This window comes from Homo sapiens, chromosome 2 (genome assembly GCF_000001405.40).
Source record: "Homo sapiens chromosome 2, GRCh38.p14 Primary Assembly".
NCBI classification, from domain to species: Eukaryota; Metazoa; Chordata; class Mammalia; order Primates; family Hominidae; genus Homo; species Homo sapiens.
The window spans coordinates 236,142,560-236,158,607 of record NC_000002.12 but is presented as its reverse complement, the minus strand read 5'-3'; the positions used below and the strand labels follow the sequence as shown (position 1 = coordinate 236,158,607).

At 45.2% G+C, this 16,048-nt stretch overlaps 1 annotated feature.

Annotated features, from left to right (window-relative positions):
- Window positions 1,964-2,752: an enhancer, noted in NCBI's record as "H3K4me1 hESC enhancer chr2:237064500-237065288 (GRCh37/hg19 assembly coordinates)". NCBI's record gives its function as "activates a minimal SCP1, AML or CMV promoter by ChIP-STARR-seq in naive H9 embryonic stem cells {active_cell/tissue: H9 hESC(naive)}" and the evidence as "EXISTENCE:reporter gene assay evidence [ECO:0000049][PMID:30033119]".

Below are 16,048 nucleotides of genomic sequence, written 5' to 3'. Positions count from 1 at the left end.
TTCCCCTTTGCTTCTAGGGCACAGGTGTACAGCCTTCCAGACAGCTTGGTTTCTGGGGAGGGGAATGGTGTAGTAGAGATGAAGTGCATGATAACATCACACCACACGAGCGGCCCACTCAGGCCTAGGTGCACAGCTTTGAACTCAGACCACCTGACTTTCCATCCTCAGGTGATTAACTCTCCAAGTCTCAGTTTCCTCCTCAGCACCAGCTGGTCCAATGCAAGCAAAGGGTGCCGTGCCAAGCTGGGCACACAGTGAGTGCCGGTCACCATCAGCCACTGTTTCTCTCGCCACCCACACAGAGGCTGGCTCTTCTGCTGAAGAATGAACAGAAACAAGGCTCCAGGGCAGTCCTCCTGTGTGGCTCCACCTTGGTTAGGGTTTGCTGTGTGTCTGGTTCAGGTTCTCCCATGACAGCCCCTCCACCTGCTCAACCCAGGTCTGTCTTGCCACATTTTAAGGCCGTGTCATTCAATCCTATCCTTTGTGGAGATGGTTTGGAATTCATAGTAGCATCTTTACTCACTTGGCAAACAGGCTTCAGATCCTCTGCTGGTGCCCTCCGCCTGAGGAGCCTGAGGTCTGTGGAAGGAGATGGCGCTGTGGGCTGGTGACCCGGAGGTGTTTCCGTAGGATGGCTACGCACCTCTTTAACCCCTATATACCATCTCAGCTCAGTTTCCCCCACAAAACCAGAGGGTCTCAATTATCTTCATGTTCTATCTTATTGGACCTACTTTGATATCTTAGATTCAGAGGCAGAGGGGTCCCTGGGGTTGGCACAGGGTAGAGGCAGGATTCAGGCTCTGTCTTATTCTTAGTCCTGGCAGGGGAGGTCTCAATGAAGGTATCAATTATGAATAATGAAGTGTCATTTCAGAAAGGCCTTTTCCATTCCTAGTATTTGCACAAATCCTCCTTTGCACAGGGTCACCCACCTCCCTCAAAGGTGCCTGGTGGATTAGTTAGAAAGATGGCAGGAGCCCAAGCATTGCAAAAGCTAAGATAAGAATTTCAACCCTGTGTTGTCACCATCCTTAGTCAAAGAATCTCCAAACTGGGTAAGATCCCTCCAGATGAATCATTTGATTTTCCGGTAACTTGGGGCTCCGAGCCGCCTGGATGCAGAATGTCGACCCTAATGTGATCATTCAGAGCGTTTCTATTACCAAAGCAGTCACTTCACACATATGTATGTGAGTATTACTTTTGAACCTGAGGTTATTGATCATTTCGAATATGTTTATCAATTGTCTTGAAGTGGATTTCCATTTTCTATGACCACAGCTGGAATTTTTCCCCCAATAATTTTCACATTTCAGCATTTTGAAAGCTATAAATTGCCAGAAAAGAATGATAATCACCCATCTTTAAATGAGAAATTGTTAATTTGGGATTTATAAAGGACTTTCTTTAATGAATAGTAGTGAAGACAGATTTGTCTTCCCGCCTCATTTTGCAAAGTCACATTTGTGAAGTCAGGAGATTTCCATTCTTCCTCTAATTACTCTCTCCCTCCAGCAGGCCTGCAGCGAAGGAGAGGCCACCGGGGGCGAACTGGGTGGACTGTGGCAGTGCCCTTGGTCCCGAGTGGGTGGCAGCCATACAGAGGATCGGGGGCTGTCCTCTGGTTACCCCCACACCACCTACAGGCAGGGTTTTACCACCGGGACTGTGGGCACTGGCACAGGACAATTCTTTGTGGTGTGGGACTGCCCATGACTGCCAGAGGGGCACCCTGTCATGTGACAGCCAAAAGTGCCCCAAAGGAAAGCAGACCTGTCCCCAGTTAAGTGTCCTCTGCTGGCACTGTGCTAGGCATGAGGGGCTGACAGGCGCCTGTGTGCAACACATGCCCTCAGGCGTTCAGAACCCACGGGGAAGACAGGTAGAACCCAGTGTGAGGAGACCAGTATGCCCTGAGTTCACACAGGGGCCTCATCCCCAGCGTGGATGAGAAAGGTGCTCAGGGCCAGAGAGCCCTGGGTGGAGGCTGTGGGATGAGCAGATGTCACCCCAGGGAATGACTTTGCAGTGGAGATGCTTTGGGACCCCATGGCCTGGAGTCAACATAACGGGGTTTGCGTTCAGGCCTCAATCAGACTGGCCACCTGGAGCTCTGTGCCCAGAGGCCTCCAAGTTCACCGGTTCCTCCCCGCAGGTGCCCTCTGGGCTCTGGCGGTCCTGCTCTCCCGGGGATCTTCACTCTGCCTCTGAAGCTCTGGGAGTGATTTGGCCCATTTGAGCTCAGTGATTGCAACCAACCAGAGCTGGGGCAGTGGCTGAGGGATCCTGGCCCTGCGGGCACCCGGGTTTCACAGCTGACACTGAACGCAGGGCGAGTCCTCAGGGCTGGGCCTGGCCAGTTCTGTGCAGCGAGGCCCTCCCTCTTTTCTCAAGGCTCCTCCTCTCCTCTGCCAAGGTTGGACAGCACTTACTTGGTTCAAGGGCCACTTCCTTGGGCTCAGGACCCTCCGGTGTGTCAGGGGCATGAGGGCCTTCCTGGGGGTCTGCTCTGGTCACCCAGAGCTCTCGAGGTGGCTGTGCTGACCCCACAGGCCTTTGGAATGCTTTCTCAAGATGAATGAATGAATAGTAGATGATGATGATGATGATAATAAATTTTAAAAAATAATAATAACCCTTCCTCCCCACATTACCCAGCCTCAGCCACCTGACAGCTAAGGAAGCAGTCTAATTTGGAGTCATTTAGCGAAGTCCTTGGTGAGGGCAAGTCTACAATTTCTGAGTAATTCAGCACATTAAGCCCACAGGCTGCCTGCACCCTGGCACTCCAGCGCTCCAGCTGGAGGAATTAGATGAGGTTTTCTGGAAAGTTTCTCATTGACATGATTTCTACTTGACAGAGATGCCTTGGTCTGAAAATCCTGATTTAGTAAGATGAGCCCCCTTCCTTGTCCAGCCCTCTGTTAGACCCTCCAGATGCAAGCAGGGAGTGGTTCCAGATGTTCAGCCCTGTCCACCTTCTCCCTTCCTTTCCCTTCCAGAGCAGATGAAACCAACTCTGCTGGGGCCCTCAGAGGAGACTGGAGTCAGCAGGGAGACCAGTGGGCACGGGGTGGGAGGACAAGGATCGCAAAGATGTCAGCGCTCCCCAAACTCATTTATTAGTTCAATGCAATCCCAATCAGATCCCAGTAGAGTTATCTTGGAAGCTTGACCAAATGGTTCTAAAGCACGTCTGGAAGAATAAACATATGAATCCAGCTGGAGAATTTTTAAAGAGACACATAATGAAGAGGGGCATTTGCTTCAATAGGGGTGATTGCCCAGTGTGCACGGGTGATGGGCACTCTTCCTAGCACTTGACCTTGAAGCTCACAACAACCCTAGGAAGTAGGTATTACCTTTAACCATACAAAATTGCTGGTATTTGATGATTTTGAGGCCTATGAAATGGCAATTTTCTATTATTGTCATCTAAGTTTTGCAAAACCAAGGCACAGAGAAAATAAGAACTGGTCCAAGGTCTCACAGCGCCATTGGTAGATCCGGAATTTAAACCCAGATAGGTTGGCTGCACGGCTTGTGCTCATAAGATTACGTTATATAATCAACAGATTATGTTACTCAGAGATAGACTCTAGAATAGATGAAAAATTAATCTATGATAAGGAAACCTCTGCAAATTTGTGGAAAAGGAAAAATTGTTGCATATATGATATTTGGAAAAACTGGCTAATTGGAGGGAAAGATGGAACAATCTTCACCTCCCACTTTGCCGCAGATCAATTACAGATGGATTAAAGTATTCAGTGTATAAAAGGAAACCTTTAAAACTATGAAAGAGGATTAGCTGGATAATTATCTGCTGTGTGGGGATGACACAAGGGAAGAATAGCAAAGCTGTCTACATAAAAAACAGAGGTTTCTGTGCATTCCAAAGATCAAAAACAATGAAAAATACAAGGAACAATTGGGAAAAATGCTTGTCAGAAACATGACAAGGTGAATTAGTATGTTTCTACATAAAGAGCTAGAATGAAAGAGAAAGAAAATTGGGAAAGGGCATGGATGGCCAGTTCATGGACGGTGAAAAGCAAATGCATTGATTCCACAAATATATGTGGGGCGGTCATGACTTGTCAGATACCGTTCTGGTCTTGGGGATGGAGCTTGCATTCTATGGGGTGAGGCTGATGCTAAACAAACCAACAGGTGATATGTGATATAATGTCAGGTATTATGAAGACATGTAAGTGACAGGAAGGAGAATAAGGCACAGTAAGGGGGTAGGGAGTGGAAGGGGCTATTTTAGATGAAGAGATCAGGGACCATCTTGCTGATAGGGTGACTGTTGGGTAACTTTTTGAAAGAAGCAAGGGGCCGGGCACGGTGTTTCACGCCTGTAATCTCAGCACTTTGGGAGGCCGAGGCGGGCAGATCACTTGAGGTCAGGAGTTCAAGACCAGCCTGGCCAACACGGTGAAACTCCGTTTTTACTAAAAATACAAAAATTAGCTGTCTGTGGTGTCACATGCCTGTAGTCCCAGCTACTCGGGAGGCTAAGGCAGGAGACTAACTTGAACCTGGAAGATGGAGGTTGCAATGAGCCAAGATTGCCCCACTGCACCCCCAGCCTGGGCAACAGAGTGAAACTTTGTCTCAAAAAAAAAAAAAAAAAAAGAAAAGAAAAGAAAAAAAGAAAGAAAGAAGCAAGGGCTCAGGAAATGCACAGATCTGGGGGAAGAACATTCCAGGCAGAGGGACAGGCAATGAGACTAATGTGACTGGGTAAACTGCGCAAGGAGGAGAGTGATGAATGATGGGTTCACAGAGGTAGCCAGACACTTCATCATGTTTGATCCTGAGGAGGTTTGGAGGCTCTGCAAAGAAGTTTGAATTTTATTTCAAGTGGTACAGGAAGACATTAGTGGAGTTAGAGCAGACGAGTGCATTTTTTTCCTTATTTGTTAATAAACATATAAAATTGTTCCAACTCAGACAGATAAAAATTAAAACCAAAATGAAATATCAAAAAATTTTAAGACTGGACACTGAAATGGTGCAGTTAGATGGACACTTGTCCATGTCTGGAGGAAATACATCTGCTTACTAAATCAATAAATAGTCATTGAGCATCCATCATGAGCCATGAGCCAGATAATGTTTTGTTTTGTTCTTTTTTTAGAGACAGGGTCTCACTCTGTCACCCAGGCTGAAGTGCAGCCATATGTCAAACTTCTGGCTTCAAGCAATCCCCACCTCTTCACCTCCCAAAGTGCTGGAATTACAGGCATAAACCACCATGCCCTTCCAAGCCAGATAATCTTTGGGGGGTTTGGGGAGGCAGCAACAGACAAAAGAGACAAGGGATCTGTGTTCAGAAGGTAGAGCAAAAAATGTTCTCTCAGTCTATTTTATATTTGTTAAACAATAAGCAATATACTTTACTATCAAAAACAGTAATGGGGTGGTCTGAGTGCAGTGGTGTTTACAACTAATTGATCACAATGAGTTACAGATTATTTTGTTCCTTCTCCATTATGACTGCTTCCCTTGACTAGCCTTACTAAAAAGAAAATAGGAAAACTATTATTACTTTTATTCAGCATTGTTACTATATATCATAACCAAAGCAATAAGATAAGAAAAATAAATAAAAGGCATAGGATGAAGAAGGGGAAAGTCAAAGCATATTAATGAAAGATACATTTAAAACCAACAAAAATATAAAGCGCATAGGAAAAATTATAACTTTTTTTCAGTGACATGAAAGAACATCAGACTAGATGGAGAGAGACACCACAGTTTTGGGCAGAAAGATGCAATGTCATAAGCATGTCAGTTATTCCTAGACTGGGTTATAACATTCAGTGGGATACCAATCAAAACCCCTGAAGGTATTCGAGGAGCTTGGATTAAGAATTACCTTGACCTGGCTGGGAGCTGTGGCTCAGGCCTGTAATCCCAGCACTTTGGGAGGCTGAGGCAGGCGAATGAGGAGTTTGAGACCAGCCTGGCCAACATGGTGAAACCCCGTCTCTACTAAGAGTACAAAAAATTAGCTGGGCATGGTGGCAAATGCTTGTAATCCCAGCTACTTGGGAGCTGAGGCAGGAGAATTGCTTGAACCCGGGAGGTGGAGGTTGCAGTTAGCCAAGATTGTGCCATTGCACTCCAGCCTGGGCAAGAAGAGCAAAACTCTGTCTCAAAAAAAAAAAACCAAAAAACGAATAGCCTTGACCCATGAGAAGAGGAAGATAAGATGATGAAGGATGAAATATCCTGCCAGATATCAAGACTTGTAGGCCGGGCGCGGTGGCTCATGCCTGTAATCCCAGCTCTTTGGGAGGCCAAGGCGGGTGGATCACGAGGTCAGGAGATCGAGACCATCCTGGCTAACATGGTGAAACCCCGTCTCTACTAAAAATACAAAAAAATTAGCTGGGCTTGGTGGTGGGCACCTGTAGTCCCAGCTACTCGGGAGGCTGAGGCAGGAGAATGGTGTGAACCCAGGAGGTGGAGCTTGCAGTGAGCTGAGATCGCGCCACTGCAGTCCAGCCTGGGCGACAGAGCGAGACTCCACCTCAAAAAAAAAAAAAAAAAGACTTGTAAAGTTCTCTTAAGGAAGAAAGTGTAGTATTGACATGGGAATGAAGAAACCAGGTAAGGAAACAGAAGGAAAGGGCCAATATATATACCCCATGCATCTCTGGAAACTTGATTTATGACAGAGATAATGGATTACCTTTTTTGTTTGTTTGTTTTTTGAGATGGAGTCTCACTTTTTTGCCCAGGCTGAAGTGCAGTGGTGTGATCTCGGCTCACTGCAACCTCCGCCTCCCAGGTTCAAGCAATTCTCCTGCCTCAGCCTTCCAAGTTGCTGGGATTACAGGCATGCACCACCACGCCTGGCTAATTTTTGTATTTTTAGTAGTGACAGGGTTTCACCATGTTGGCCAGGCTGGTCTCAAACTACCGACCTCAGGTGATCCACCTGCCTTGGCCTCCCAAAGTGCTGGGATTACAGGCATGAGCCACCATGTCTGGCCGTACTGGATTATCTTGCCAGGAAAAAAAAAACTCAACTGGAGGCTTCCCTCATACCACACACACAAATTAATTACAAGTAGATTAAAGACATCAATGTAAAAGGTAAATTTTTAAAAATTTTAGAAGAATATATTTTCTAGAGGAGAGGATTTTTCTTTCTTTTTAGAGACAGAGCCTTGCTCTGTCACCCAGGCTGGAGTGCAGAGCACTCTTGGCTCTCTGCAGCCTCGATCTTGCAGTATCAAGTGATCCTCCCACCTCAGCTTCCTGAGTAGCTGGGACTACAGGTGCGCACCACCACATCCAGCTAACTTTGTTCATTTTTTGTAAATATGAGGTCTCACTATGTTGTCTAGGCTGGTCTTGAACTCCTGGCCTCAAAGGATCCTCCTACCTCAGCCTCCTAAAGTGCTAGGATTACAGGCATGAGCCACCACACCTAACTGGGAGAGGATTTCTTAAACAGGATGTAAAAGCACTGTTCATCAAATGAGGGCAGTAAAAAAAAAAAAAAGCCACAAACTAGAAGAAAATATTTGCAAGGGGTTGGTCTAAACAATGATAAAGAACAGCTACTCATGACAAAGGAACAAATTAGTCCATATAAAATAGGAAAAAAAAAAAGTCTACAAATAGGGATTTCACAAACGAGAAACCATGCTTGGCAAGTACATTTATGAGTATATGCTCAATCTCATTTGTAATCAGAGAAATTCACACTAAAGCCATTTAATGAGATACCTTTATACATTCATTCATGGTATATACCATTATACATTCATCAGATTGGCAAAGATTAAAAAGCCTGACAATACCAAGTGATGGCAAAGATATGGAGTACCTGGAACTCTCATACATACTTGGGGATGTCAATTTGTACAACCACGTAAGAAAACAGTTTGGCTTTTGTACTGTGAAGTCAAACACATGCATATCCTACCACACAGCAACTCTACTCTTAGGGATGTATTCTAGAACAATGGTTTCAAACAGGGATGCACACAATGATTTTCCAAGGAGTTACAAGAAACTGACAGTCTTCAGGGAATCTATTCAGACAAACTTCCAAATGTCCTCTTCTCTACATTTCCCCTTTCCCGCTTCCCCTTTCACAAGTGATGATTTTCCTACCTTCCCTTTCCCATGCCTAAATCTTTTCTTTGATGAGTCAGCGCAGGTTGCAGAAAGTTCTAGATTGTCAGATTTAGGTGCACTGAGACATATTGATGTCAGAATTGAAAAAGTGAATGACTAGTGATTGCTTTATAAACCTATTGCAAGTCAGGTGGTTTTCAATGCATTGTGCTCAATGACATGGAAGAGGAAATAAGAAAGTTACCAGCTGGTATAATTTTTTTTTTTTTTTTGAAGTAGAATCTCACTCTGTCACCCAGGCTGGAGTGCAGTGGCATGATCTCAGCTCACTCCAACCTCTGCCTCCCAGGTTCAAGTGATTCTCATGCCTCAGCCTCGCGAGTAGCTGGGGCTACAGGCACAAACCACCACGCCAGCTAAGTTTTTGTACTTTTAGTAGAGACGGGGTTTCACCGTGTTGGCCAGGCTGGTCTCTAACTCCTGACCTCAGGTGATCTGCCTGCCTCGGCCTCCCAAAGTGCTGGGATTACAGGTGTGAGCCACCACGCTTGGCCAAAAATATTGTTTAATAATTTGAGAAATTAGGTCAGAGAAAGTTAAAATAAATTAAAAATTAATGCTATGAATTTTTTTCATAGCATATTTCCAGCATAGAGAATATGAGCAATAAATGGACTTTAAGGAAACAAATATTAAAATAAAAATTTGGGCCCGGCGTGGTGGCTCATGCTTGTAATCCCAGCACTTTGGGAGGCCGAGGTGGGCGGATCACTTGAGGTCAGGAGTTCAAGACCAGCCTGGCCAACATGGTGAAACCCTGTCTCTACTAAAGATACAAAAAGAGACTCTCTCCAAACAAAACAAAAAAAAAAAAAAAAAATTGAGGGAAGAATAAAATGAATATACAATTTCAAGAAAAAGAAATGGAGCAATGTAAGATTTCTGAGTGTTGAAGAGGCTGCTCATGAAGTTTCAAATTGGATACCAGGGACACTGCATTGGTGGCATTTGTATTCCCGCGTCCACACTTTAAAAAACGGTGTAGTTTGCTGGGCACGGTGGCTCACACCTGTAATCCCAGAACTTTGAGAGGCCAAGGCAGCCAGATCACTTGAGGCCAGGAGTTTGAGACCAGCCTGGCCACATGGTGAAACCCTATCTGTACTAAAAATACAAAAAAAATTAGTGGGGCATGTTGGCAGTTGCCCGTAATCTCAGCTACCTGGGAGGCTGAGGCAGGAGAATCCCTTGAGCCTCGGAGGCAGAGGTTGCAGTGAGCCAAGATCATGCCACTGCACTCCAGCCTGGGTGACAGAGTGAGACTCTGTCTCAAAAAAAAAAAAAAAAAAAAAAAAAGTGTAGCTTGAAGAGCTGTATTGCTGTGAAGAGGCTGGGCGTGGTGGCTCACACCTGCAATCCCAGCCCTTTGGGAGGCTGAAGCTGGAGGATCTCTTGAGCTCAGCAGTTTGAGACCAGCCTGTGCAACATAGTGAGATGAGACCCTATCTCTACTAAAAATAAAGATAAAAAAAATAGCCTGGTGTGGTGGCATGCACCTGTAGTCTCAGCTACTCAGGAGGCTGAGGTGAGAGGATCGCTTGAGCCTGGAAGATCAAGGCTGCAGTGAGCTATGATTGTGCCACCACCTGAGTGACAGAGGGAGATCCTGTCTCAAGATAAAAATAAAAAAGCCACTAAGAGAGGCAAATCGTATTTATTAACAATCAGGACTGGGCGCGATGGCTCATACCTGTAATCCCAGAACTTTGGGAGGCTGAGGCTGGTGGATCACCTGAGGTCGGGAGTTCGAGACCAGCCTGGCCAACATGGCGAAACCCCGTCTCTAATAAAAATACAAAAAATCAGCCAGGCATGGTGGTATGCGCCTGTAATCCCAGCTGCTCAAGAGGCTGAGGCAGAAGAATCGCTTGAACCCAGGAGGCAGAGGTTGCAGTGAACCGAGATCGCGCCACAGCACTCCAGCCTGGGCGATAGAGTGAGTGAGACTCCGTCTCAAAAACCAAAAACCAAAAACAAAACAAAACAAAACCTGATTAGGCCATTTCTTGCTTTAAATATTTGACAAAATTCCTAATACTTTGGTATTCCTAATTTTTTGTGTAGTACACTTGAAATATAATAAAATAAAATTATTTTATTTCAAAAATTAAAGGTTTGTGTAATTATCTTTAAATGTTAATATTTACAATGTGCCAAGATTATATATTTTTCAATGATTACAGGTATGATTTAAAAAACTGAGATTTCAACTTTAAAATATGAGAGTAGATACTCATTTTTCAAATTCTTTTAGGGAGTCCATGAGGGGCGAGTTGGAAGACCATAGACTTAGGGAAACTCTTGCACACTAGAAAAGTGTGTGAGAACATTCCTGGCAGCCTGGTTGGTGATGGTAAAAACTGGAAACTCGAATTGTGCTGCATTCTGGAATGGTACAAATGAATGAACTCCATTCAGTAATACACAACATGGACACATCTTGGAAAATCTGTTGAATGTAAAAAGAGAATGCTTCCAGTTTTATAGAGCTCAGAAATAAGCAAAAGTACTTGTTATGTATAATAACTGAACTATCTTTTAAAAAGCAAGGGAACAGCCTGGGCTCAGTGGCTTATGCCTGTAATCCTAGCACTTTGGGAGGCCAAGGGGGAACAGATCACCTCAGGTCAGGAGTTCGAGACCAGCCTGACCAACATGGTGAAACCTCGTCTCTACTAAAAATACAAAAACTAGTTGGGCGTGGTGGTGTACGCCTGTAATCCCAGCTATGTGGGAGGCTGAGGTAGGAGAATCACTTGAACCCAGGAGGTGGAGGTTGCAGTGAGCTGAGATTGTGCCCTGCACTCCAGCTTGGGCAGCAGAGCAAGACTGTCTCAAAAAAAAAAAAAAAAAAAAAAAAAAGGAAGGGAACAATTAGCACAGCATTGAAGATAGAGGTTACCTCTACGGGAGAAATACTCAGGGGCATTGGTAACTTTCCAGCACTTCAGTAGGATGGTGGGTTATTTTGTTATTCACTGTCATAGCTTATATAAATCCCATTCTAGAATCACACCTTATCCAATGAAATCTATTTCTCAAATTTAAATATATAGGAAAATTAAAAGAATAGCATGTGAACTCCTGTATACACATCACCTACATTCAATAGTCGCTAATATTTTGTTGTTGTTTGTGGTTGAATCACTCTAAACCCTTCATGCATCTTCTGAGAATAAAGACATATGACTAGTTTACTCTGAAATCATCACCCACCTAAAAATATTATCAGTAATTTTACAGTAGCCTTCAATTCCCAGTCCATATTTGGATTTCCTCAGGTGCTTCATATGTTATAGCTTAAAAAAAAAAACAGCAATCAAGGTTCATAAATTGCATTTGATTATTATGATTTTTAGTCTGTCTTCCAAGAAAAATTTTTGCTGGGTGCCGTGGCTAACGTCTGTAATCCTAGCCCGTTGGGAGGCCAAGGCAGGCAGATCACTTGAGGTCAGAGGTTCAAGACCAGCCTGACCAACATGGTGAAACCCCATCTCTACTAAAAATACAAAAATTACCTGGGCATGGTGGCAGGTGCCTGTAATTACAGCTACTCAGGAGGCTGAAGCAGGAGAATTACTTGAACCCAGGAGGTGGAGGTTGCAGTGAGCCGAGATTGCTCCATTGCACTCCAGCCTGAGCGACAGAGCGAGACTCCATTTAACAAAAAAAAAAAAATTTTTTTTAATTTTTAAATTTTTGTTTGTAGAGATGGGATCTCACTATGTTGCCCAGGCGGTCTTGGACTCCTGGCTTCAAGCAATCTTCCCACCCCAACCTCCCAAAACACTGGTATTCCAGGCATGAACCACAGCGCCCAGCCGAATTTGAGTCGCTCTTATTCTAGAACACCTACCTCCCCTTCCATGGCATTGATTTTTTGAAGGCTTCATGCAAGTATCCTCATGAATGCTCTCCTGACTAGATTTGTCAAAGTATTATTTTCTTCTAACCTTTGTATTTCCTATTGCTGATGCCTTGCTTAAAGTTCTGAGGGGTAAAAAGCCTCTAAGAAGAGACAAATGATGCATTTTACTGTATAATTTTTATGTAAGCAAAATCTGTCCGTTCTTCTAAGATATTGATTTTTATATTTTGATGAGGCAAGCCTTCTTCAGTCCAGAATTCTAAAAATATGCCATATTTTTCTAATACTTTTGGATTTTGCATTTGCTAGATAAATTCTATTTGGAATTTATTTTTGCCTGTGGCAGGGTAGGAGTCTAAGGACACTTGTCCCTGAATGGTTGGCTAACTGTCCCTCCCTACTTATAAATAATTCATTTTTTCCATTGATGTGATGTGCTACTTTTATGGAATTCTGAATTCCCATATGTTTATGGTCCACCTTCCAGAACCTAGATATAACTCTCATCTATTTGTTTGTTTGTTTGTTTGTTTTTGAGACAGAGTCTCGTCTTGTTGCCCAGGCTGGAAGGCAGTGGCATGATCTCTGCTCACTGCAACCTCCTCCTCCCGGGTTCAAGTGATATTCCTGCCTCAGCCTCCTGAGTAGCTGGGATTACAGGCATGCATCAACACGGCCGGCTAAGTTTCATATTTATTTTATTTATTTGTTATTTATTATTATTATTTTTTGAGACAGAGTCTTGCTCTATCACCCAGGCTGTAGTGCAGTGGCGAGATCTCGGCTCACTGCAACCTCTGCCTCCCGGGTTCAAGCAATTCTCCTGCCTCAGCCTCCTGCGTAGCTGGGACTACAGGCGCTCGCCACCATGCTTGGGTAATTTTTGTATTTTTAGTGGAGACGGGGTTTCACCATGTTGGCCAGGCTGGTCTTGAACTCCTGACCTCGTGATCTGCCTGCCTTGGCCTCTCAAAGTGCTGGGATTACAGGCGTGAGCCACCATGCCTGGCCAAGTTTTGTAGTTTTAGTAGAGATGGGTTTTCACCATGTTGGCCAGGCTGGTCTCAACTCCTGACCTCAGGTGATTCGCCAGCCTCGGCCTCCCAAGGTGCTGGGATTATAGGCATAAGCCACCGCGCCTGGCCTGATTTATTTGTTACTTCCTGCTCCAACGCCACATCATCTTAATTTTTCTAGTTTTGTTATCTGATGTGGGGAGTTCCTCCTTGTTCTTCATTTTCCACTTTTTCTTAGCTAATTTTTTGCATCTTCTCTTCCAAATGAATTTTAGAATCATCTATTTGAGTTGTTTTGAAAAACCCATTTGGACTTTTGACTGCCAATGTGCTGAATTTATAGGCTACTGGAGGGTAAGTAAGGTGACATTTTCACAATACAGTCTGGTTGCGTGCGATCACGGGCCAGCTCTCCTGTTGTTCAGGTCTCTGCTGTGCTTCTGGAAAGATTTAGAATTTTGCTCATGTGAGGCTCACACATGCCTTCTGCAATGCACGCCTAGGTGCTTAACAAATATCAGTTGCTATTATAAATGGGAACCTTTATCTTACACGAAAATTTCAGATGTTATCAGTGTGCAGTTGATTTTTTTGTGGGTTTTCTCTCTCCTTTTCCAATATTTATACCCCCTTTTATTCTTGTCTGTTGCACTGGCTAGACCCTCCAATATAGTAATGTGTGGTAGTGGTGATAATCTGCATCTTTGCTGTGTTCCTGACTTTGCCAGGGATGCTTCACTTTGCTTTTTAATCTACGGCTACATCAGGTTTCAGTTTAGCATGTGTACACACATGCACCCCACCAAGCCAGGGCTTAGATCCCTCACCCAGGGATGTAGCTAGTAACATTTCAAGGGGTGCTCAGGCCTCAGCTTTGCATTTTCACACAGTTGTGTGGCCTTGGGCAGGTTCCTGACCTCTTGACGCCTCATTCTGTTTTTTTGTAAGATGGAGACATTTATGAGCTCCTAGCTAGGGGATGCTTAACTGCTTCGTGGCTCTGCTACCCTGGCTTTAGATCATGGCTTTAGAGTGGATCATGGCTTTAGAGTGGATCATGGCTGTAGAGTGGATCATGGCGTTAGAGGGGATGGCACGCTCTATAGGCAAATGGGTCTAAATAGATCATGAAAGATTTTAACTCAAAAAACTGTGTTTTCCTTAGGATGTCCTCAAGAACACAGTAACAAAACATGTATCGTGTAAAAATCAGTTAGTTACATTAGACCTCCTTGCTCAACCTCTTCTGGGAGGCTTCACTATGCTGATGGGGGGCCTGAGCCCCCAGAGGCTGTTTGAAGTCCCATATTCAGCATTTTCCACATATGTATGTGACCACAAAGTCCTCTTTGAGGTTCCATAGAGCAGAACACTTTATTTCAGGTGTGGCAGTAAAGGCTTAACAACCGGCTCTGGGGGTGGGTGTCTGTGGCGGGGAGGACCTTGATTTGTAGCATTTGCCAATTTCCGTGGTGTAAATACTCCCACCATGGCCCATTCCCAGCTACCCATGTGATGTCACGGAACACAGAATTGGGAAGAGGTACTCAAGAGCAGCTCGTGGGAGACGGTGAAAGCCACCGCCAGCACATCACTGCTCAGGTAACTGACATCTCACAGGACCTCTGCTCCCTGAGCGCTAGATGGTGACGCCACTCACTGTGCTCCAACATAGGTCACAGTGGTTTGTGTTTCTTCGAGAAATTGTTTCTGTGCATGCATCAGTATATATAAATGGGTAAATGGTATGTTTATGTGTTGCATTTTATACTAGCAGAGATGTTTTAGTCTGTACCTTGACTTTTTAAAAATTACTATATCATGGTCACTTTTCCATAATCAGAATACACAGAACATATGGAAGGGCCTGGCTCTTTTGGCCCATTTGGTCCCTATCTTCTTTTTTTTTTTGAGACAGAGTCTTGCTCTGTCGCCCAGGTTGGAGTTCAGCGGCGCAATCTCGGCTCACTGCAAACTCTGCCTCCCGGGTTCAAGCAATTCTCGTGAGTAGCCGAGATTACAGGCTCCCACCACCACGCCCAGCTAATTTTTTGTGTGTATTTTAGTAGAGATGGGGTTTCACCATGTTGCCCAGGGTGGTCTCAAACTCCTGAGCTCAGGCAATCCTCCCGCCTCAGCCTCCCGACACCCGGCCGGTCCGTAGCCTCTAACCAGCGCCCTCTATTGGACAATTCAGTGATTTCCTTTCCAGGCCTCTCCCGGGATAGTCAGGGCTGAAGGGAACAACCCGGTTCTCCCCAAGCACACATTTCTGGGGCCTTGAGGTTCCAGTCTGGGCAGCCTGGCTCAGTCCTGCCTGCTCCCCATCGTGGACTCCTGCAGAGTGGCTGGGAGCTGATTTATCTGGGGTGCTACTGCCTAATAACGAGCCAGGAAGTGCCCTTTCCTGAGCTCTTGGTGCTTTCCCCTCCCCCAAACCCACAGACAGGACAACTCTCTGGTGCGATGCAGCCGGAGGAGGTGGAGATTCTCAGGACCTTGGAGCAAGGAGTCTCAGGCTGTGGCTGCTGTGTCCCATCTGTCTCCATCTCCAGATTCTGGGTTCTTGGCAGAGCAGCTGTTTCAGAGACCGTCTGAACCTGGCTCAAAGCAGGTCCCAGGGCACACCAGGACACTGCAGGCAGAGAAAGCCAGCAGCAGCAGCAGCAATTGTGAGTTCCTCCTCGCAGCCACTCGGAAGTCCACACGGATGGTCTGTCCAGCTGCTTTCCACCTGGCAACTCTGCGTGGCCAGGGCTGGGAGCCGGGGCAGACATTTCAGTGTAATTACAGCTGATGAGTTTCCAGAGCAGTGAGGGGAGGGCAAAACTGATTTATTCAGTATATTGACTAAACACTATATGCAAGGTGTTGTTTTGGGTGCTGGGAAAAAGAGGACAGTGAGGTAGAAGTGTGGCCTGTCCTCCTGGGATCCATGTTCTGGAGAGGATGTAGACTCCAGCAGGTAACAGTGAAGGTGTGCGATCGC